This window comes from Homo sapiens, chromosome 15, assembly GCF_000001405.40.
Source record: "Homo sapiens chromosome 15, GRCh38.p14 Primary Assembly".
Classification (NCBI taxonomy): Eukaryota; Metazoa; Chordata; class Mammalia; order Primates; family Hominidae; genus Homo; species Homo sapiens.
In genome coordinates this window covers 74,298,961-74,321,705 of record NC_000015.10, presented here as the reverse complement: position 1 = coordinate 74,321,705, position 22,745 = coordinate 74,298,961, and the positions used below count along the sequence as shown (strand labels likewise).

Sequence of the window (22,745 nt, the reverse complement as noted above, 5' to 3'; positions counted from 1 at the left end):
TTTCTTGGCCCGGTGCGGTGGTTCACGCCTGTAATCCCAGCACTTTGGGAGCCGAGGGGGGCGGATCACTCACGGTCAGGAGTTCAAGACCAGCCTAGCCAACACAGTGAAACCCCCTCTCTACTAAAAATACAAAAAGTACACCGGGCACAGTGGCTCATGCCTGTAATCTCAGCACTTTGGGAGGCTAAGGGAGGTGGATCACCTGAGGTCAGCAGTTTGAGACCAGCCTGGCCAACATGGTGAAACCCCATCTCTACTAAAAATACAAAAATTAGCCAGGCATGGTGGTGGATGCCTGTAATCCCAGCTACTTGGGAGGATGAGGTGGGAGAATCGCTTGAACTGGGGGGCAGGCGGGGGTGGGGCGGAGGTTGCACTGAGCTGAGATCGTGCCTCTGAACTCCAGCCTGGGCAACAGAGCAAGACTCCATCTCAAAAATAAATAAATAAATAAAATAAGATAAAATAAAATAAAGCGAATTAACCACATTTCTTTAAAATACAATGGAAAATTCAGCTGGCAAATTGATGCTGGCCTCCTCCAGTTCCAGAGACCAGGGAGCAAAAGCCCAGTTCTGAGGGGCCGTCTCAGGGACAAGTCGGGGAGGATGGAGGTTGTGCCTGAAAATTTGCTGAAAGGGACTAGTGTTTTCCCAGGGGTTGGGGCTCACCATGGCTAAGAAGTCCCCTTACTCCCAGAAACACACGGGCCAATGCCACTGGGACCCTGGCCTCTCAGTTCTTTGCCACTGCCCACCCAGCCAAGCTCCCTTCCCAGCCACTGAAGGACAATAGAACCCACTGGCCATGAGGACAAGCTTCTTTCTTTCCCTCCATTCACTCTGGAACCTCATCACCACCAGAGGGCAGGCGAGGGAGGACTGAGAGCCTCATTGGCTGGGTGGGATATCGAAGCGGCAAGGGCATAGCCCAGTGGGAGAGGCTGCGCTCCTGAGACACAGAGGGCAGGGTTAGGGAGGTGAGGGCAGGGTGGTCTGTGCGATGTGGCATTGCCCTGGGGGTGGGAGCCTGGAGGAGGCAATGGCACTGGTGGGTCCCCTTCTCCACCTGTCACCACCCCAGGGTGGCCCCAGCTTCCCAAACCCCATTTTGGACTCTGGCATATATCTCCCTTCCACCTGCTCCCCAGCAGGGCCTGGCAGCTGCTGTTTGTACCCCTAAGCTCAGCTCTGTTGGGGGTGGGGAGACCCTGCACTCAGAGAGTTCCCGGTGGGAGGCAGGCCTTGTGTGGGACATGGCTCACACCCTAGGAGTGCAAGTCAAGGCCAGGGGTAGGGTTGGGGAGGGGATCCTGCAGGGGAGGGGTGGAGCTGGGCCTTTGAGGTGCAGGTGAGATTTGACTGGATTGGGTGGGACTTCAGAGGTGGGGAACACTGAGGGAAGGTGTGGAGGCCCATGTGGGCTGGGCTCTTTGGAGGCAGCAAAGTACACAGGTCTGTCTGGCTAGAGAGCTGGAGCAGGCCCACCTGTTTGCACCAGCCAGGCCCGGAAGCTCTGCTTCTGAACAGAGCGCAGTGGGGAGTCACAGGAGTTTCTAGAACCAGGGCCCTGCTCACCCCAGGTCTCTGCTCCTGGTTCCCCTCGAATGTCATCTGGGCCTCCCAACCACAACAAATCTGTGCAAATTGCTGTTTAAAACAGACTTCCTGCTCCACAGAAGCTGCCCTCCCAGGGAGGGGAGGCAGTTGCTTCTTTGTTCAGCCCAAGGTTATGGCAAAGAAACAAAAGGAGTGAATTTTCCCTTTCTTCTGTTCTTTCTTTCCCTTCCTGCTGCAGCAGAGATGATGCCTAGAAAGCTTTTGTGCTTGGCTTGGTGAAGCTTGGAGGGGTGGCAGGGCCTTGGCCGGCAGCTGACCTCAGCCCCTGTCTAATTGGCCCCTGCAGGAGCCAGGTGCTAATTGGGCCTGGCTGGGACAATGGAGACCGGCTGGGCTGGGGTGGGGGCGGGGCTTCCTGGAAGATGCTGGCTTCCCATTCCTACTTCCCCTCCTAGGCTTTTCTGAACGCTGCCTGACCCTCAAGGCTCCATTCTGGGCCCTCCTCCTCCAGGAAGACCCCCGGGCTATCCCAAGACAGGCCATCAGTCATGACTCCTTGGGTATTGGGCCAGAGTCCAGCCTCTGCTGACAGCAGATTGGGGCCAGCCCTTGCTCTCAGCCCAGGTGAGTACAGGGCTGGGCATTCAGCAGGTGGTGAGGGGCAGGCCCCAGTCCTGGTCTCACAGGCCCTGTTCACTCTTCCTCAAAGAACCCTTCCCCACTGGTCACCTCCTGCCAGAATCCTCCCTGGTTAGAGCTTTGCTGCCTCAGGAATGCCCCACATTGGGTGGGGGAAGAGCCCTGGCTGGAACCCAGAACCTTGGGTTCTGATCCAGCCTCTGCCCACAGCTGTCGAACGACCCGAAGCGAGGCCCTTGCCCACTCCGTGCCTGCTCATCTGCACCCTGTGGGGAATGACCCTTGTTGGGGTTGTCCTCTGGGATTCTTGCCAAAGGGGAAGAAGAAATGCTTTGGCAACTGGGGCCCAAACCAGAAGGGTTAGCACTTACTGGGGCGGCCCCAGCCCCCAGTCTGAGCTGCTGCTTCCACTGGATGCCCCATCTGCCACACCCACTCCTCCTCACAGCTCGGCACCACACATGCACTACCAGCAAGCCTTCCCAGGCTAGCCCAGGCTCAGCCACTTTCTAGGATCCAAGGCTGGACCTCCAAGACACCAGAGGTAGGGCCCAGACTAGCAGGAGGCAATGATCACTTCAAGGGATTTTCCCAGAAGCCCTTCTGTCCTCCCTCTCTGGATTACTGTGTGGGCTCAGGTGGCCTAGGCTGGAGCCAGGGGCCTTGCAAAAGATTCCTGTGACCACGGGCATCTAAGGGCCAAAGCCCTGGTCCTCTCCACCCTGCCTCCCACTTAAGAGGCTCTGGGAACACCTCTACTGGTTGCTGGGCAACACACCCCAACACACCTGCTGCTAGGCGAGCCAACCCATCTTCCCAGAACCAGTGGGCGAGGGGGCGACTTACAGAGAAGCTGTCAATGAGGCCTGGGGCAGCCTTGGGGGCTGGAGGGGATGGGGGCCCTGGCTCCCCCATCTTTACTGCTAGCAGTCCTGTTCCCCAGGATGGGTCCCCAGGGACTGTTGCTACAACAAGTGCCTGCCTGGTGACCAAGCCCAGCCCTGAGCTGGAAGCAGGCAGGCCCATGGGGCCACTTCCCCTTTGTTCCAGGGTGGGGGGTGTCTGGGTGGGGTGGCTGAAATCATGCAAGGTTCACTCCTTGGCCACAGAATTGTATGGAGACAGCAGGGCCGGGGAGGGCTGTGGGGCCCTTCAGGGCTCCGGCCTTCTGACTCCCCTGGCCCAGGCTCAGAGTCCCTCCTCCCTCACCTGCCCTTGGCTACACCTTGGTTCCTGCCTCCCCCTCAACTCCCTCCGCTCTTCTCCACTTTCTCTGCCTCCTGGTTACCCCCATACCCTGTCTCCCCTTTCTCTCCCACTGAGCCTCACCCTCTGTCCCTGAGTCTCCTCCTCCCCCTCCCCCTTAGTCTCTCTGCTCCCTGATTCCCCCTTGTCCCCTCAGGAGTCCTCCCCACCCCGCAGCAGCACAAGCTGGGCTCACTCTCCTCCCTGCAGCTGCAGTGTGGCTTAGGGCCCCACGCCTGGTCCCTGGGGACTTCCTCTGGCTGCTTTCCTGATGCTCTGGACAAATTCCTTTCTCTTTAGTTCAGCGGAGACATGGGTGGATGTTTTTGAAAGAAACTCACTGGGAAGCAAAAAAAAAAAAAAAAAAAAAAACAAACCCAAACAAGCCAGCCCGCCACCTAGAAACGGCCCTGGTCATGAAGGCAGAATGTCTGATATAACTGGCTTCAGCCTGGGTTGCGGAGACCCCCTCCTGGGGCATGGAGGGGCCTGCCTGCCTTTCCCCAGCTGAACTGGGTTCAGCCTGTCTGTCCCAGACAAGCTTGGTCCCAAAGGCTTTCATGATAGGGCCCTCCACCTGGACCTAGCAAGATGCTGACCAGCACTGGGACTTCATAAATATTTGTTTACTTGTTTAATGAATGAATAGATGACTTACAGTGTTCTTTGGGGCCTCAATGGTGGCACAATAATAATCCCTGACTGGACAAGCCAAGACAGTCACCTCTACCCGTTTCAAAATCTCCACCCCTGCTGCTGGGTGCCCAGCTCAGCACTCTGCACAGGGTTGGGGGGCCTCTGGCTTCTGCCGGTGTTGTGGAGGGCGCTTCCTTTTCTCATTTGCAGGCCTCATGTTTCACTTACTCTTTTTCTTTTTTCCTTTTTTTGAAATGGAGTCTGGCTCTGTCTCTTGCTCTGTCTCCCAGGCTGGAGTACAGTGGCGCGATCTGGGCTCACTGCAAGCTCCGCCTCCCGGGTTCATGCCATTCTCCTGCCTCAGCCTCCCGAGTAGCTGGGACTACAGGTGCCTGCCACCATGCCTGGCTAATTTCTTGTATTTTTTTAGTAGAGACTGGGTTTCACCGTGTTAGCCAGGATGCTCTCGATCTCCTGACCTCGTGATCCACCTGCCTCAGCCTCCCAAAATGCTGGGATTACAGGCATGAGCCACTGCACCTGGCCCACTCCACTTTTTCTTAATGGGGACACTTCCTCTGAACAATAGGGACAAGTAGGGGAGTGGCACAAGACAATCCCCATACTCCTATTAGTTCTTATTTGAGTGGGCCTGGTGAAGTGGAAAGATAGTGGGCTCTGTTACTAAGCAGCTGTGTGACTTTGGACAGGTCACTTAACCTCTCTAAGCCTGTTTTCTCCTCTGTAAAATGGAGTGCATCACTGTGCCCATCTCATAACGCTGTTGGGGATTAAATGAGGCTGCGAGTGTACACGTCCGAGCAGCGTCTGGCATATAAGAGTGGCTCCAGAAATATTACTCCCTCCTCTGTGCAACTCTCATGAGGGGCTCTGGAGGGTCTAGCACCCCTCCAGGGAAATGAAAGGGAGGCCCGTGGTGGAGTCGGCCATCCTCCCTGGATGGCACCAGTCACTGGCTGGCACTGAGATGTGGGCCTTAAATCTTCCTGCTCCTGCCCCTCAGCCTCCCCACCAGGGAAATGGGTGTGTGCCCCCTGCTATCCCCAAGATCCTGGGGCAAGAAGCCTCCCAGACCAGGCTTCACCACCCCTCCCTGCAAGGGGCCCTGTCCTCCCCTGCCTGCTGTGCGCCAATCGATTGAGTCTGCTCCCATCCTCGGGCGTGCCATGAATTTTTCATCAAAAGCCTGTAGACTTTGGGAAACGCACAATTAGAAGCCCCATCAATAATGCACTACGCAGAGGCATGCACTGAGCTCAGCCTGGCCCCAGACATGGCAGTCTTCCAGCCCTGCTCTGGCGGGAGGCTGGAGGGGCGCCCCAGCGGACCCTCAGGGACCCATCACCGGACATAGAACAAGTGTGGGCTGCTGAGAGGGAGGGAAGCCGCGCCCTTGAGGGACTTGAGCCTGCCCCATGAAGCCAGGGAGGCCCCAGGGGCTCCCGCCTGGTCTCAGGCATTTCATCTATAAAACGGGTGCTCAAGAGCCCCCACCCCTGCCCCTTGCCCACCCCTTATCACTGGGTGAGACACACAAGACAATTACTATGTGAAGACTAGGGCAGGGCTCTTTGTGGAGCTAAGGGATGTCCTCCTTCAGGGGGTCCCAGGAAACAGGGCAGGTGCCTGGCTGGAGTGGGGAGGGAGAGGAGGGCAGTACAGAGATGCCTGGTGGCATTGGGGCTTTATTCACACTTCCTTCCCCCAGCTTGGCGGTCAAGGTCCCTGTGGTCCTGCTCCTGTCCCCCTCCCCCTCCACACTTAATAGTGCAGCTCCCCTTGGACCAGCCACTCCCACGCCAGCCACTTCCTGTGGCCTCAGAACCTCTGGGGGAACAAACAGGTTCAGTGCATCCGGCCTCTGTGCCTTTGCTCACGCAGTTCCCCCACCTACAGGACAGAGTCGCCTTCCCCCATCTCTGCAGATCCATTCTGCAAAGCCCACCTCCTAACAAAAGACTTTCCTACTCTTCTTGGCTTCCTTTCTGAATTTCTAGAGCCTGCACCAGGCAGGTAACAAGAGCTCACCATAGGCTGGGCACTGTTCTAACTACCTTAAATAGATCGGCCTAACTTCACCACCAGTCACCTGATGAAGTAGCCTTCTCCATGTCCATTCCACAGAGGAGGAGAGTGAGGTATGAGGAGGCTAGGGAAGTTCTTGGAGTGGGTGAGCTGGTTCCAGAGTCTTCACCACCACTCCGGACCCTGGGGCTGGCTCTCCTGTCCTCAACTGGCCTTGGCCTTGGAGTCCGCAAGGGCAGGGCTCATGCTTCATCACTCATCAGGGCTGGGATCTCCCTATTGCAGGGCCAGAGGCTCAGCTGAACTCAGGGTGGGGCACGCAGGATGTTGATAGCCATGCTTAGCTGCTGGTAGGAGAGGCCTCCCCGCAACTCGAGCTTGAAGCTGGCCTAGCCAGAAGGTCCAGATGCCTCCCTGGTCCCCTGCAACGGCCTCCACTGAGCCCACATCCCATCTCCTGGAGTCGCACAGTTGCTCTGCTCCCCTTACCCCTGCTGGCTCCAGGTCTGGCTCATACATTCTGAGGCTGTCATGAATGCCCTCACTGCCCGCAATAAAACCACCGCATCAGACACACGGGGGTGGGGGATGGGAGGCTCCTGGGCTGAGGTGGTTTTTGCTGTTGCTTTTGGCAGGCTGTCAGACTTCTCTGGGCCCTGCCTGGCTGTGGGCTTCTGCTGCAGCCTAGGAGGGGGCTCGTTGGCACCTGGGGTTCTGTGCCCCTGCACATGGGCCATGTGAGAGCAGAGATGCCAGCTCCCGGAGGCGGGACATGTGCTGAGGGAACACAGCCCTCCATTTCCATTTCTAAAACTCTCTCCTGGCAGGAATGCTGCTGGGCCTGAAATACAAATGGAACTGTACCCCTCCTAACCCCCAAATCCCCACCCCAGGTGCTCCACCACAGCTTGGAGCTGTCTGCAGGAAAGGGCTCGTCATGATGCCAGTGATGTTCACAGAGGGGCCCTGGGATGGGTCCAGACTAGGGGGCTGGCAGGGGGAGGGTGGGCAGAGAGCTTGGTTAAAGCCCCCTGCTCTGTGCCCCCCACCCCTGAAATGTGTGTTTGCATTTTGCCCTAACTGAATCCACTGTCTGCCTTGAGGTCGCCATGACCCTATAAGTGGGCAGCCAGGGTGGCAAGAGTGTGTCTCCTTCCATCTCTAGGGGAGGGGTGAGCACTGCCTTTCCCCCACCCAGGCCAAGGACTGAGGTCCTCCCAGTTCAGGATATACTCTTTGGCAGGCCCACTTGGCCAGGCCCTGTGGTGGGCACTGGAGACACAGATGTGGCCAAGGCTTGGGGTCTCTGTCCCCAAGTAGCTTGTATTCTAGTCGATGTGAGAGCAGGCAGTGTGGCATAGTAAATCAGTATGGCAAATGCAGTAGCGGGGGAGCCCCCCAGCCAGCCCCCTCCTCACCCTGGGGTGCAGGCAAGGGTGTATTGGAGGGTATGTCAGAGCGGGAGATGGGTTTTGAAGGATGAGTAGGAGTTTGTCAGGTGATACAGGCATAAGGAGGAGACACAGTCCTAGCACAGGGAACAGCAGGAGCACAGGTGTGGAGGTGAGCAGCAGCCTGGAACACCGTGGGAGTGCAGACAGGACACGCGGCAAGGAGGGGCTGGTAGGAGATGAGACTGGAGCGGCTGCAGGGTTCAGTCATGGGACCTTGGATGTAAGTCCAAGGCCCAGCTGTCAAGCCTGTTATAGGCAGGCAAAGTGGACTGGGCTGGGCCTGGATGCTGGCACCAAGCATGCTTGTGACCCTCCCAGAATAAGGTCTGGTTGCATTCTAAACAAATCCAATGTGCTATGCAGGACCCAGAGCCCAGACAGGGTAAGAAGTTGCCTAGCACTTCTGTGGCAGGGCCAGCTCAGCATTCATAGCCCTCCGGGGTTAGAAATCTGTGCTGGGCTAATCACCTGAGGTCAGGTGTTCGAGACCATCCTGGCCAATATGGCGAAACCCCGTCTCTACCAAAAACATAAAAATTAGCGGAGCATCGCGGCCAGCACCAGTAATCCCAGACACTTGGGAGGCTGAGGCAGGAGAATCGCTTGAACCCGGGGAGGCGGAGGTTGCAGTGAGCTGAGATCGCGCCACTGTACTCCAGCCTGGATGACAGAGTGAGACTCTGTCTCAAAAAAAAAAAAAAAAAAAAAGAAAGAAAGAAAGAAAGAAATCTGTGCTGGGGTTGGAAGGGACTGAGAGGCCTTCTGGAAGACAGAATGACCCAGAGAAGAGTAGGCTGGGATGTTGGCTGCCCAAAACCTCGGGATGGGGAGAGAGCCAAGGGAAAGCATCCTTGAGGTGCTGCCTTTTCTCAGTTATCTGGGTGGGCCACCTGCCCTGGCATCCTGGAGCCACCAGGCCATGACCCACCCCACTCTAGGAGCTGTCCAAGCCTTGGCCCCTGTACCACCCTTAACCAATGCTGCTCAAGGGAAACAGAGACTTCCAAGTGGCTTCTTAGCCCCTTCCCACCCCTGTGACTCAAAGATGTCACTGTTCTCGTAACAAGAACCTGCCAAAGCTCAGGCTATGGGAGCCAGAGTGGGGATCAGAACAAACACCCTACCTCCCAGCACCCAGAGGCAGCCAGCCTTCCAGGGCATTGTTTGGTTTGGGGTCTGGGGGCTTCCTCTGGAGGGCTGAGGCCCTGCCTGGTGGGGTCAGACTCAGAAGGTTTTGCTAGGGTCCAGGCCAAGCTTGGCTCAGCAGAGAGAGGCTGTGGGTGTTGAGGGGGAGGTGAAGGAAGATGAAGACTTGGCCTTGCCTTCAGGGGTCCTAGACTGAGGGGGGAGACAGTGTCCCACCCTGAGGAGCCCAGTCTGAGAGGGGAGATGTGAGCCTGCCCAGGAAGCCCCTATATGTATGAGGAGGGTTGCACTGTCACATCTGAGCAGGAGGCAGGACGCACACACTCCTGATAAGGACACATGAAAAGAACAGATGGCGCCAACAAGTGCAAATTAATTGAGCGAAGCCTGTGTACATAGGCGCTGTGAACAGGCAGGCTGATGGCTCAGGAGGGGTGGTGCGGGGGCAGGGCAGGGAGCAGGGAGAAGCTGTAACGAGCACTTACCGATGTCTCGCTGGATCTGCAGCCGGTAGCACAATTATTGACAAAGCCTGTCTATAAATCTCCCAGCCATGTCTTCAGAAACCTTAATTACGGGGCCTCATTACCCTTCACACCTCTAGGCACGGGGGACCCTCCTGGGCTGGGGCGGCTGCTGACACTGCGGCTGGCCTGCCATGGACAGGCTGAACCCCTTCAGGAAGATGTGCCTAGCGGGGGTGTCCAAGGGACACTATTCAGGACCACGTGGCTCCGAGGAACGAGCAGAGGCTCAGCCTCTAGGCAAGGGCAAGGGGGTGAAAGGGACTTTGGAACAAGGGGAACATAAGCTGGGTTTACATTCTAGTTTTGCCAGTCCTTCTGGACTCTGATGGGCACCTTCCCTCTCTGAACCTCAGTTTCCTCATCTGTACAATGAGGAGAGGGCTGTGGTGAAGATTACGTGAGCAAGGTCTGTCTAGTGTTGAGCACAGTGCCTGGCATGTGCTGTGTGAGTAACATCTGTCCCTTTCATCTCTTCTCGGTCACTGTCTGAAGCTACCAAGAAAGAAAAGCGGCCCCTGGTGGCCAGGAGCTGGCGGCCACAGCTGGACCCTGGTGTCATTCACAACACCACTCTCTGACCACTCTGTAAAGTGTGTGAACACAGATAAAACATAGTCATTGTCCAAACCACAAAAATGACCAAACTCCCTTTCCTGGCTAATATGAGTGACTGCTGCTTCTTTATTAGTGACCATCATTCCTGCCTTCTCGATGAGAACTCCTATGATACCGACTCTTAGAATGCTGATTCTAAGCCAGCCTCCCGCTGTCATCTAACCCAGAGCAAAGCCTGTTTCCTCAAACCCTTTCCCAAATCCCCTAACACCAGCTTGAATCTGTGAAGTCCTTTCCCACACACTCTTTCTGGGATGCCCCGCAACTCCCATGGTTGCATCCCCCTTACTACAACGAGTCAATAAACCCAGAATAACTCCAACTTTGTTAAACTGCATGTGTGTTCCTGGTCGTTTTCAGCTGGAGGGGTTGAGATCCTGCTATTAGAGCCTCGTCTGTTTAGATGACTGTGCTCTCCAGGCCTGAATCCTAGGCTCTCATTTTCACATTCTTCCCTCTCATTATTTTTGCGAAGCATGTGCCCACTGTGTCCCATTTGTTGTCCTCACCCAGGCCAGGAGAGAACACACTGGGGTAGGGGGTGTGGAGGGGAGAGATGCTGGGGGCACCTGCCACATCTCTCCCTGGGGGAAGGAGCCCTGTCTGGACATTTGGGGCTCTTGGGGGATCCAAGGAGGCCTAGACCATCTTTAGCCTTGGGAGGGACCATGGGTAGGGGAAGGGACCAGGGTGATGGGAGCTCAGTGTCACAGGAGAGCAGAGGTGGGGTGAGACCACCCGTCCTGCCTCCAGGCCTGTGCTACAGGCCCCGTGCGCCCTGTCCAGGCAGATCACGGTCCTGCCTCCAGCCTAGGCCACAAGCCTCCTCCCCAGCCCTGTGTTGCGGAAAACCACCTCACTGCTGCCAGGCTCCAGGCCACCCCAGAGCTTCACAAAGTGCTTCAGCCATCAAAACCCCAGTAATCCCTGTGTTCAGCTTTGCCTCTTGAGGCTTGAGCCTCAAGGCAGTTGGTCCTTTCAGAGCCCCCCACCTCCCCTGCCTGTCACCCAGCCTCTTTTGGCCTCAGTTCCTCTCACACCTCACTCTCCCCATCCCTGAGAGTCCCCCATGGGAACCTTCTCTACAGCCTGCTCAGCCTTGCCCACTGCTCAGGTAATGGAAATCCAGGGCCCAGACCTCACAGATGCAGGTGGCAATGAAGGGAGGGGGCTTCCTGGGGGCAGCACTCTCGCTGCTGGCGGGTACCCTCCCTGCTGGCTCTCTCAGGATGCCCCCTGACCACCTCAGGCCCCTCAGAGTCGGTCTCAAAATTCAAATTTCTTTTTTTTTTTTTTTTTTGAGATGGAGTCTCCTCTGTCGCCCAGGCTAGAGTGCAGTGGCTTGATCTCGGCTCACTGCAACCTCTGTCTCCTGGGTTCAAGCTATTTTCCTGCTTCAGCCTCTCAAGTAGCTGGGATTACAGGCATGCACCATCACGCTCAGCTGATTTTTGTATTTTTAGTAGAAACGGGGTTTCACCATGTTGTTCAGGATGGTCTCAATCTCTTGACCTCGTGATCTGCCCGCCTCGGCCTTCCAAAGTGCTGGGATTACAGGCATGAGCCATTGTGCCCGGCCTCAGAATTCAAATTCTGATTAGCCAGACCTTCTGCACCAAGCACATCTCCAGTCCTGCCTCCTAACCATCTTCCCAGAGTTGTTTTTGTTTTTATTTTGTTTGAGTCAGGTTCTCACTCTGTCATCCGGGCTGGAGTGCAGTGGCGGGCACATGGCTCACTGCCCGCAGCCTCAACCTCTTAGGCTCAAGCAATTCTCCCACCTCAGTCTCCCAAGTAGCTAGTATTACAGGCACGTGTCACCATGCTTGGTTAATTTTTTAAAAAAATTTTGTGGAGACGGCATCTCGCTATGTTACCTAGGCTGGTCTCAAGCTCCTGGTCTCAAGTGATCCTCCTGCCTCAGCCTCCCAAAGTGCTGGGATTACAGGTGTGAGCCACTGCGCTAGCTTCTCCCAGAGTTTTTAAGTTCCCCTCATACTTAAAGTCCAGGCTGTTCTGTTGAGATGGCTGGTGGAGGACTTGGGGGGTCTGGAACGGGTGGGGCACAGATCCATTTGTAGTGGATAAATAGATTCCCTGAAGGAGTGGCCAATAGTGGTGTAAGATGTGGGTCTTGGAGGGACCGAGAGAGATGGAAGCTTGTTCCCAGACCCTCTGCACTCTCCTACACTGTACTCTTCACTCCCCACTGTAGGAAAAAAAGGCGCCAGAAGCTCTTCATGGCTCACAGAAGCCGCTCCAGGCACTGTGAGGTTTTCACAGCCAGCCTGGGGATAAGGGCTAGCACTGTCCCCCTTTCCCAGCTAAAGAGACTGAGGTTCCTGTAGGTGCTGGCTGGGAGCCGAGTAGGAGGTAAACACCTCTGTGATCCAGACCACCCCTGGTCCACCAAGCTGCTCAGGAAGGGCATTCTGTGCATTCAGTGAGCACACACTTACTGAGCACCCACTGCACGCCAGGCACCTGGTGTGGAGGTGGGCGAGGGGTACAAGGTGGAGTGAGCCGGGAACACAGGCCTGGAGCTGGGAGGAGGCACCACTGCCATTGAGCATGGGTAGAATATTCTGGGTTCAGGTAAAGGCTTGAGGCAGGGGCTTCAGAAGCCCCAGGGCCCATCAGGCTGAGGGGCTCCTGTTGCAGGCAAGGGAACAATGCATGGGTTCAGGGCGGGGGGTAGCATGTCTAGATTTGGGCTTGGGACAGGTCACCTGGTGGCTGTGTCTTAGGAGGAGGAAGGCTGAGGTAGGCAGGAGGGCCCCATCTGGACGGTCAGCTCCCAGATCCTGAGCCAGCTCTCTGAGTGAGCCCACTGGCCCTCCACAGGAGCCCCCCCACCCACATACAGGAGAAGGCAGGAGGGTGAGGTCTTCATCTTGGCCTCCACAGGACCCTCCCTACCAGCGTGGCAGCTCCCTACTGAATGGCTCCCTACCCAGCCTGAGGAGGAAGAGTGAGATGCCTCCAGTCCCAAACTAGTCCTCTGAGAGGGTCCAGCTGTCATTGCTCTTCCTGGCCCTTCCAAATCCCCGAGCCCCTCTGCAGCCCAACCCCAGGGTCCACCCTGTGGAGGTGGATTTGCATATCTGAGAGTGAAAAAAATTCTGCTGCAGAGGCTTAGTGCCACCAGAGATGCTGAGCCCCCTTTTGTCTGTTTGAGTAAGAGCTGGCTAAAGGCTGAAGGATAATTAGTCCCCCGTGGGCAACGCTGTCCCCCCTCCTTGAAGATTTAAAGGCGCAGCCCACATGCTCAAGCCACTCGGGTCTCAGCCCCTTCCCCCACAGGCCCTCCCCGCCCCCTCGACTCCGCCCTAAGGAGGGGACGGCAGCTCTGGCAGGAGCCGATGAATGAGCATTTTATCTGATTAAACTGGGAGTGAACTGGCTGGTCTCTATTATCTGCGGACTTGATTGGATATTTAGCACCAAATGTGTGTGTGTGTGTGTGTGTGTGTGTGTCTGTCTGTCTGCACACATGGACTGGGCTTTTCTAGTCCGTGTGTCAGGAAGAAATTGGATTGTACTGAAAAACATTTAATCTGAACTCAGGAGTGCACCCTGATAGAGTCACCAAGCTAGTGGTGAGGGTTGGGGGAGGGACAGTTCTGCCTTTAGCCCTGGACAAGAGGGGCTCCAGCCCTGGGCCCCGTGGGTTGAAAGGTCCTGCTTTGGCCCTCTTCGGGGTACAACCCTTCCCATGGGGTGAGGAGTCAGTGGTCCCAAGGGGGACGTGCCCACCTAGAGCCCGTGCCCGCTTTAGACCTCACCCTGGGTAACTGGGATCCTGGCACTCCCCTGCTTCCAGGGCCTGTCCTCCTGAAGGTGGCAGTATACCCTTATGCACTCGAGAGAGCCCACAGAGTCTCATAGGTGTGGGACTGAAATTGAGCTGTGTGAGAAGAAAAGGGGATGGGTGGGGTTGAGGGGTGGGGGCCTGGGAGTGGCTCTCGCCATACTGCCAGGGGCCAGTGTGGAAGCTGAGAATTCTTTGAGGTTGTTCATAAGGTGTATTTATTGAGGTAGAGGAATGGAACATATTTAGGAGTTTGCTAGCTTCTGCTTGATTTATATTTTGATTACTGGGGTTTGGACATATGGTATGTAGGCCTTGCTTATACTCTCAAATGTTCCAGGTGGAACTCGGCAGGGGGTGGCCTGAGGCCACAGAGCTTGTCTTGGTGTTTACTAGGAAACTGAGGCAGCTCTTCCTCCCAGATAGGCTGGGAAGATGGTGAGTTAAGCTCACCAGGCTCCTGACTTCCAAGTCACCAGGCTCGGCCAAGGCTCAAGTGCTAGGCTGGAGACCCCCAACCTGTGTTGGACCAAGACTCCCCCTCGGTCTTGTCTGGTGGCCCTGGGAGGGTTATTGTGCTATCAGCAGGTTCCTCTCCCACAAAGTGGGGATGATAATTGTATGTTCCTTTTCAGTCTGGAGTGAGGATTACATGAGATTGTGACCGAAGTTCTGGGTACAGAGTACGAGCTCAGTGAATCTTGATGGGAACACTTAGTGTTATTAAAATGAGTACTAAGGTTGGGCTGGTGCTTGCAGAGCACAGAAGGGACAAGCCCCATTTCCCAGGTTAGCAACTCTTTCTCCCAGTCGCTCCTGGTTCTATAGTCCACCTCACCCTCACCAATCGATGATTCAAGCCCTCAGCAATTTATGGCCTCATCATCTTGGCTTTAGTTACCGAGAGTGCTCCACTCCTGCCTCGCCCACCCACCATTTAATTAAGGATGGACAGCAAGACCTGGCAGCACCGGCCATCTCACTAAGGAGCAGCGCCAGGAGGCTGTCCCACCTCTGCCTGCCTTGTTTGCTGGGATGAAAGAGGAAATTGTCAAGACCAGGCTCCTCACTCCACAGGAGGGGAGACGGAGGCCCAGGAGGGGAGGGGTCAGTCAGGCTGACTCCTCAAGTCAGAACTGACTCCATGTCTCCTGATGCTCCTCCTGCCCAACCCTCTCTCGGCAGTAAATTTTCTCTCTCTCTGGGTGGCCTCTGCCCGGAGTGACCTCGTTCTCATCTCCTCTGAGCCTGATCTTCTGGGTACTTAGGGCAGGCCCTGACTTGACCAGTCCTCTAGTCCACCTATCCCATCCATTCTTTCCTCCACACCGCTAAGACTTTCTCATCCCTCACTGGAGGGAGGCATTCGCTCCATTAATACAGATAGAGAAACTGAGGTCCAGACAGGGAAGGGACTAGCCCTGGGGCCCCACAGTGCCTTTTGGTGAGACCCCAGGCCAGGCCTGGAGAGAGACAGGCACACACACACTAACTAGTAATTCCCACTCAACAGATCAACAGATTCCTCTTGCAGGAACAAGAGGAATTTCATTTCCCTTCCACCAACAAATCAAAGATCTGTTATGGTTTCATGCTAACCGCCACTGATGCTTGGTTGGCTTTTCTCTCTTGCTTATCACAGTGACATCTGCAGACTACCCTGGCATTCTGTAGAAAGTGTGCACTGCCTGGGGTGGGAGTTGATGGGGGTTAGGATTAGGTAGACCCCCTCTGTGCTCCCACAATCTCCTGAGGACCCTGAGCCCCAGTCCTGACCACATCCTCCTCCAGCCATTCTTGATGTGTCTCCCTGCTCAATTGGGACTTCTTGAGCACAGGGACCCTTGTACGGAATTATCTTTATGTGACTGTCACATATCTTGGAGGTGAACTTCTGGAGAGGGGGTCAGAGGGAGAGGCCTGGGTGAGTTGTGCTGCCTTCCGTCATCCCCCTCAGTCTCGAGGGATCCCATGAACACAACGACTATTAATAAGCCTCCTGCAAAGTGCCAAAGTGGACGGCCCTTTACAGTTTCCAGTGCATTGCCATCCACTCTCCTGTTAGTCCTCTGAAAAGCCTCAAGAGGCGGGGAGAGTATTTCCTCTACTTAACAATGAAGAGACAGGATCAGAGAGGTTGAGTGATTTTTTCAAGGCCACACAGCTCTTGGGAGGTGGAAATGGAACTCATACCTGCTGGGGCTGCACAAATGAGTGGAGGAATCTGTGGGGCGAGATAACCAGACTTGGCACAGAGTAGATGCTCAAAACCCTGGTCGAACAAATGAATGAATGCATGAATGAATGAGTAGGTGCATGTACCAGAAATGAATGAATGAGTAGGTGCCTGTGCCAGAATACAAAGTCAACAGGGAAAGGAGAGACAGCTGGGGGTCTGAGGAGGTTGGGGGCACCAGACACTTTTGCTCCCTGTGCTCATGTGGCCCCTTCTTGGCTCCTGAAGCACTGCTCATCCTTGGGGTTTGAGTACTTCCCCCTTAGCCCCTGGGTGATGCTCCTTTTCATGCTGTCTCACTTCCCTTGGCCTTTGCAGACTTCTCCCCAGTTAGGCTGGGGGGCTTTCTCTATGGAAGCCTCCCCTCTCCAGGCCCACCCCTAATATCTGTAGTGCCCAGTACAAGAACAGAAATGGAGGCTTCCAGCATGTGCCCTCTGCAAACAGCCGTTGCTTCTTGGGTCTCAGGGTGCACCCTTGCAAAAGTATTCAACCCTTAGAAGTGTAGATTTAAGCTTGCATAGTCCTCAGAAGCAGGTTTAGGCCAGGCGTGGTGGCTCACGCCTGTAATCCCAGCACTTTGGGAGGGCGAGGCGGGTGGATCACTTGAGGTCAGGAGTTTGAGACCAGCCTCACCAACATGGTGAAACCTTGTCTCTACTAAAAATACAAAAGTTAGCTGGGCATGGTGGCAGGTGTCTGTAATCCCAGCTACTTGGGAGGCTGAAACAGAAGAATCACTTGAACCTGGGAGGCGGAGGTTGCAGTGAGTTGAGATCACGCCATTGCACTACTCCCTCCTGGGTGACAGAGCAAGACTCTGTCTAAAAAAAAAAAAAGAAGAAGAAGAAGCAGAAGCAGGTTCAGGCCCATTCGGGGGTCTTGGGTACCGACAGAGTGTTCTAGAAGCGTGGAGCTTGGGATCTGGGGCACATTTACCTAGCCAGGTGGGGAGGGACAAGGCTGGAGGAGTGTGAGTGGGCCCTCTAAATCAGCTTAGGTACCTGGCCAAGTCGGTCAGGAAGACAGGCCCACCGGACTGGCTCATAGCTTTGCCTGGCAGAGCAGCACCAGGCTCCCCGCCAGCTCCAGGGCTGGGGGCTGGGGGTGGGAGGCGAGGCACCCACACACATGTGCAGGGCGTGTGGAGTGGGGGAGGGGACTGGCCTGCAGGGGGCCTTGCTCAGCCGCTTGCACACACCAAGAGACAATAAATCGACAAACACTTAATCTCTCTGCAAATTGAAACGGAGCCGTAAATATCTGCTGCATCCCAGCAGCTGAGTTATGAGTCTCGTTTATTAATCTCTTTAGTCTCAGGTGATGGATGGAGGAGGAGAATGGCCCGCTGAGACTCGGAGGGATGGGGGAAGGAGGGAGGAGAAGTGGGTCAGGGGTCTGGGAACAGCCCTGCCGGAGAAAGGGTCAGAGGGAGAGGCCTGGGGGATTTTTGCTTCCTTTTTATTCTCCGCCTTGATCGCAGGGCCCCAGGAACACAGTGACTATTAAGTCTCCTGCAAAGTGGACAGCCCTTTACAGTTTCCAACACATTGCCCCTCATTCTCTTGTTAATCCTCCCCATAGTCTCAAGAGGTGGACAGGGTGACAGTGTTCCCTCTACTTAACAATGAGGAGACAGGAGCAGAGAGGTGGAGTGATTTATCCAAGGTCACACAGCTTCGGAGTGGTGGAGATGGAACACAAACCTGCAAGAGCTATGCAGGTGAGAGGAGGGGTCTGCAGAGGGAAGTAACAGACACATGTGGGATGTGATCCTTATTTCTTCCTTTCTACCCTTCTCCTCTCCCTCCCTCCCTTCCTCGCTAAAATGCTTGGTAAGCACTGTGTGTGATTGTGTTTAGGAATTGGAGAGAAAAAGGTCAGAGTTGGGGGAGGGACAGGAAAGGGAAAAGAGCTGGCGAGTGTTCTCAGCCATGGCTTAGGTCGGTTGCCTTGTCTTAAGTATTTAATTGTAGGACCCCCTCCAGCCCCTGTCAGCAGGCGGTGCTCCCAGCTCGGGGCCTGCAGGAGTGCAGGGGAGGAGCTGAGGAGGGCTGGGGCCCTGAGAAGCCTTCCTGCCTTCGGGGAGCTGGGCCTGGGCGGGAGCTCGTGAGTGTGTGCTGCACAGAACAGGGATGCTTGGAGAGGTGACTGGGAGAGAGCACAAACCCAGCAAATGGGGCAATCACGCTGGGCAGTAGAGTCAGGGGCTACGGAGACTGAGGGGACACAGCAGGAAGGCTGGGGTGGCCAGTGTTTTGGGAACGTGTCTTGTGGCTGGTGTGGGATGGCCTGAAGGGGACACTGAGTCAAGGGCATCTGTTTGGAGGCCGTTGGGTGGGCCCTGGTTGGCTCTGCTCTCTGTCTCTGTCTCACTCCCTGTTTCTCTTGTAGTTCCTCAGCCTCTCTTGGTTCCAAAGGACCTGGGGCCTGGGCCCTCTCGTACTCCCAGACCCTGGGTGACCCTGCTCCCAGGCTGGGCTTGGTGCCTGAACTAGTGGCCCTGGGGGGGCTGCTTATTCCTGCTCCTGGGGGCCAATCCCAGGCTCCCGGGGCTTTGCAATGTCACCACCCTAGGCTGACGTTCCTGCTGCTTGTTGCCACCAAAGTGGGTAGTGTGCAGGGGTGCTCCAAGTCCCTTCCCTGGTGACTGCTGCTGGCAGCCTCAAAAGACTCCTGCTCAGAGTTAATCACCTGCCACCAGGTGGTGCTGAGGAGTGGAGGCCGGGTCTGACTGCTCTGCTGTCGGCCTCACCAGGCTGCAGACCCCATCCTGGGTGTGGGTCTGGGGGCAGGACCAAGGCTGCAGCCACAGTGCAGGAGCCTCAGGGCACTCAGGAACATCTGCTCCAACCGCCTGTGCTGTCAGAGGCAGGAACTGGGGCCCAGAGAAGGGAAGGAAGGTCAAGGTCACTTGCAGGAGCAGTGGGAGCACTATGAGTGCATGGACAGCACGGAGCTGGGCCAGACTGGGCAGGGGGAGTATGCCCTGTGGATGAGGGAGGCTGACAGGGTAGAGAGTGTGGCAACCTCCAGTGGGGCAGACCTGGGACAGGGGAGGTTTCTGTGCCATGTAGGGTGGCCCCCATCCAGGTTTGCCTAGGACTGTCTTGGTTTAAGCACTGAACACCTCATAGTCTGGAAACCCGTCAGTCCTGGACAGACAGGGATGGGTGGTCACCCCAGGGCCATGCCAGCCGGACAGAAAGGACTAGGCTCAGGGTGTCTCTGCTACACGGCCAGCCGCCCTTTCTGGGGGGCCTCACCTCTCCCATCTGATCCTGAGAGGCAGGTAGGGTAGGGTAAGCAGCATGCTAAGATGGAGAAACCAAGGCACATGGTCACCCAGCGTCCCCAGAGCACCCCTCCGCCTGCCTGCGAGGAAAGGGGTCCCTGTGCTGGGAGGCTTGCCTTTCTGAGGACCGAGCCCACCTCTGGCACACTGGGACTTGGGAGAGGCCACAGCTTCCCTGGTCCTCCTTCCTCTCTGCACTCATGATCTGGGGCTGTCTCTGCTGAAGTCAACCTACACCTCCGGAGCACGGCAAGTGGGGTGGGGACAGCTGGGGAAGGGGATTTAGAGAAACCGAGGGATTAAGGCCGAATCATTCTAGGGTCCAGCAGACTCAAGAAAGGAAGAGAAACAAAAGCGGTATGCTCAGAGGGGGCGGGGATGTGGAGGAGACAGGTGGAGGGAGGGGGAAAGGCTTTCAAAAACAGAATGAAAGAAATGAGTTATTCCAGTGTAAGGAGGTTGGAAAAACTCCACTGAATCTTTTAACAACCCTTGTCAATTATTCATCTCCTGGTATGAGGGCCCTCTGGTCTGCCACAAATCTCCTCTGAGCAAGGCAGAAGGAGGGAGGGAAACAGAGGAGGCAGAGAGAGAGAGAAGGAGAGAGAGGTGGAGAGAGAGAGGGGGGAGGGAGAAAAAGAGAGAGAGCGAGAGAGAGCAGGAGAGACAGGGAGAGAGACAGGAAGAGGAGGGAAGCAACCCTGTGCTTGAATTTCTGTGCTGGAAACAACACTGAATACACAATTCTTCCATAGTAAATGAGCACATCTGCCTTTCTTTATCCAAAGCATAGTCTGCCTCCTCCAGGAAGACTTCCTTGCCTGCCTCTCCCCCTATCCACCACCTCCCCAGCTCTCTCTCATTCACTAAGGGCTCACTAGGTGTGTCCAGGAGTGCTGGGTAAGTGTGGCAGTTAAAAAGCTACATTGTCCCAACCATGCCCCTCCTTTGCCTGTTCATCCCCCACCAAATATTTACTGTGTGCCTACTCTGTGCCACTAATCGTCTCCCCGGGTATGGCTTGCTCCTGTCCACTGGGGAATTCTCAGAGCTGAGGTCCTTGGCCTCTTTGTCCCCATGTCCCTGCCCCAGCTGGACACAGGGCTGGGCACATGGCAGGGTGGAGAGTTCTGGTTTTCTGACAGGCTGGAGGAATGGGGAGTCCAGGCACATGGCAGGTGTTTCAGAAGCCCTTTGTGGAGGAAGTCGGTCCATCTAGAGGTGGCATAGAGCCCCCTCGCCTTACCTGCTCCCCTCCTGGCGTCAGGAGGCATGGCCTGGCTCCGTGTGAGATGGGCTCAGGGTGCCCAGAGAGTGGAGGGCAGATGCTTGCAGGCTGTTGACTATTTGGGGAGTTGCCATGTTCAGGATGAACCTTAACACCTCACTCTTCACACTCACTTAAAGGCTCACCTCTTCCCAATGGCTTCCTGAGCTACTCAGACGGGAGATAAGGCTTCCTCTACCTCTGCCTGAGGCCCTACACTTGACCCAAGACCATACCCATGGGACCTTGACCTTGATGGGCCCACCCAGGACCAGAGTTTTGTACCATGTTGACCAAATGGAACTTGAAAGGCCTGCATCAAAACGAAGTGTTCCAAGGTGAGAAGAAATGGTTGGGTTGCAGTCTGGGAATGAGGTAGATCAAGGGCACATCCAGGGACAGGGAGCCACAGTGGGCTTAGTGAGCCATGGGGATGGGACAGGCAGGGCCAGGGGCAGCAGGCAGCATTGCACAGAGAGGCATAGACCTCCTCTTCTCCACTCTCATCTATTCCCAGAGCGCTTTTCTCTCCAGAAAATGTTCAATTTCCTATTAAGCTGAAGTCGGATCTGAAGGGAATCAGAGATAAAATTGTTTTTTGGGCTCCGGGGAATGCATGATGAGACTGGATATAGACAAACACACTCCTGAAATCAGGGGAGGCCAAGAGGCTCAGCCGGAGACAACGGCCCAGCGTGAGGGAGGCGGTTCTTCATTTGACTACAACTCAACCACTGCCATGTCGCTGGCGCCTGCTGCTCCAGCCCTGGGACCTGCTGCCGGCCACCGCTCCCTGGCCGCATGTCCAGGAGCCACACACACTGTGACCGTGCCATTGCTACTCAGTTGTGTCCCAGTGCTACTACTCTGTATGTCTGCCCACGTCTTCCACACTGTGCTCCGTACTCATTCCCGTGATTGCACCCTCCTGCGGTGCAGGGCTGTGTGACATGCTTCTACGGCTGGGTCTATTGTTATGCAACGACACTCCACTGCTCCGCGGCCACGTTCGATTGCTTGTCACTGTGCCTCATGGTCGCTTGAGTTCATCCATTGCTATGTAATTTTGTTTGGTTGCTATGGAAGAGTGACCCATTGCTACACAGCTAGGCTACCTGTGCTTGTCATGGAGCCGTACACTGTTGCTACTCACCCACGTTCTACTGCCTGTAACTGGGATCTACTGGCCACGTGAACATGTGTGTCTGGGTCCTGCCATGATCCTTCTGGGCACTGGCCAGTGGGTAGGAGCTGGGGCTGGGGGCTGGGTCTCTAGGCCCCAACTAGGGCAAAGTGTCAGAAGTAGAAATAGCCAGCCTGGTAAATCTGAGGAGAGCGAGAGAGTGAGAGCGAGAAGGTGAGTGAGAGAGGGAGTGAGAGAGAGAAATGATGAGTTGGGAGACCGAACCAGAGGTGAGAGGATAAACAAGGACGTAGTCAAGAGTCAGGAACAAGGAGGGATGGCGTGCCTGGAACAGAGTGGGATGGGTAAGGGAGAGGGGCATACCCACTGCCCTGGATACTCTATGAGTCTCTGGGGGACCCGATGGTGCCAGGTTGACTGAGCATACAGGCCTCTGTAGTGTCCAGTATTTCCTTGGCTGGATGCAAGGTGGCATGAGATTGCCATGTCAGGAAGCTTTGGGCAGGCCCATTCCTGCCCATCCCTGGGCCACCTCATTGCCACCCTTTGTAAAATGAGAGGATCAGTCTAGATACTTTCTAAGGTTCTTTCTGATTCTCTTGCTGTCCAGCCAGGGGTTCTCTATTCCATTGCCCAAAAAGCATTTACCAACATCTGTCTTGGACCAGGCCTGGGCAGGGCTCTGGAGCCCAGAGGCGAGTAAGTCAGTGTGTTCTTTAGTTCAAGGACTGGATGGTGGTGGCTGAGTGGCCCTAACCCGATAGCAAACCAGGGCTAGCAGCCAGTCCTTAAGGCCTCACCAGGTGTCCAGCAAGAGGGAGGGTAGAGGGACCAGGAACACTCTCTCCGGGTGAATGAGCCACTGATGGGAGTGCTGAGGGTGATGCCCAGGGTGGGCATGCTTGAGTGAGTTCTCCATCAGACCCAGCTCACAACACCTCTGCAGTCTGTGGGTATGGGGTATCACTCAGAGCCTCCCAGAATCCCGGCCTAGCATGCTCAGGCTGCTTCTTTCTCTGCCTACTCCTCTGTCGCTCACAATGGTTACTGTTGCTCAAAAACACCTCCTCCTGGCTGGGTGTGGTGGCTCAGGTCTGTAATCTCAGCACTTTGGGAGGCCAA

General features: G+C 55.7%; 1 protein-coding gene and 1 long non-coding RNA gene across 19 annotated transcripts in view, besides 3 other annotated features; one reads left to right on the top strand and one right to left on the bottom strand.

The window, feature by feature from the left end:
- The window catches only part of CCDC33 (coiled-coil domain containing 33), a 133,474-nt gene that overhangs the window by 14,767 nt on the left and 95,962 nt on the right, over positions 1-22,745 (bottom strand). For 2 of the 18 annotated variants that reach the window (NM_182791.4, NM_001287181.2), the window contains exon 1: positions 3,048-3,147. The exons of 15 other annotated variants lie outside the window; for them this stretch is intronic. In NM_182791.4, coding sequence (NP_877592.2) covers positions 3,048-3,116 — 69 coding nt within the window. In that variant the 5' untranslated portion in view covers positions 3,117-3,147. Of the gene's footprint in view, positions 1-3,047; positions 3,148-20,876; positions 21,049-22,745 lie in introns of those variants that run through there. One more of the 18 variants, XM_017022631.2, reaches the window with a different exon arrangement.
- Positions 1,670-2,580: an enhancer, noted in NCBI's record as "H3K27ac-H3K4me1 hESC enhancer chr15:74611467-74612377 (GRCh37/hg19 assembly coordinates)". NCBI's record gives its function as "activates a minimal SCP1, AML or CMV promoter by ChIP-STARR-seq in primed H9 embryonic stem cells {active_cell/tissue: H9 hESC(primed)}" and the evidence as "EXISTENCE:reporter gene assay evidence [ECO:0000049][PMID:30033119]".
- CCDC33-AS1 (CCDC33 antisense RNA 1) lies at positions 2,014-10,192 on the top strand. Its single transcript, XR_007064711.1, has 2 exons — positions 2,014-2,186; positions 9,748-10,192. It is a non-coding gene; the product is annotated as a CCDC33 antisense RNA 1 (long non-coding RNA).
- Positions 5,814-5,913: an enhancer, noted in NCBI's record as "active region_9747". NCBI's record gives its function as "activates an Ori minimal core promoter by ATAC-STARR-seq in GM12878 lymphoblastoid cells {active_cell/tissue: GM12878}" and the evidence as "EXISTENCE:reporter gene assay evidence [ECO:0000049][PMID:35858748]".
- Positions 20,183-21,004: an enhancer, noted in NCBI's record as "H3K4me1 hESC enhancer chr15:74593043-74593864 (GRCh37/hg19 assembly coordinates)". NCBI's record gives its function as "activates a minimal SCP1, AML or CMV promoter by ChIP-STARR-seq in naive and primed H9 embryonic stem cells {active_cell/tissue: H9 hESC(naive and primed)}" and the evidence as "EXISTENCE:reporter gene assay evidence [ECO:0000049][PMID:30033119]".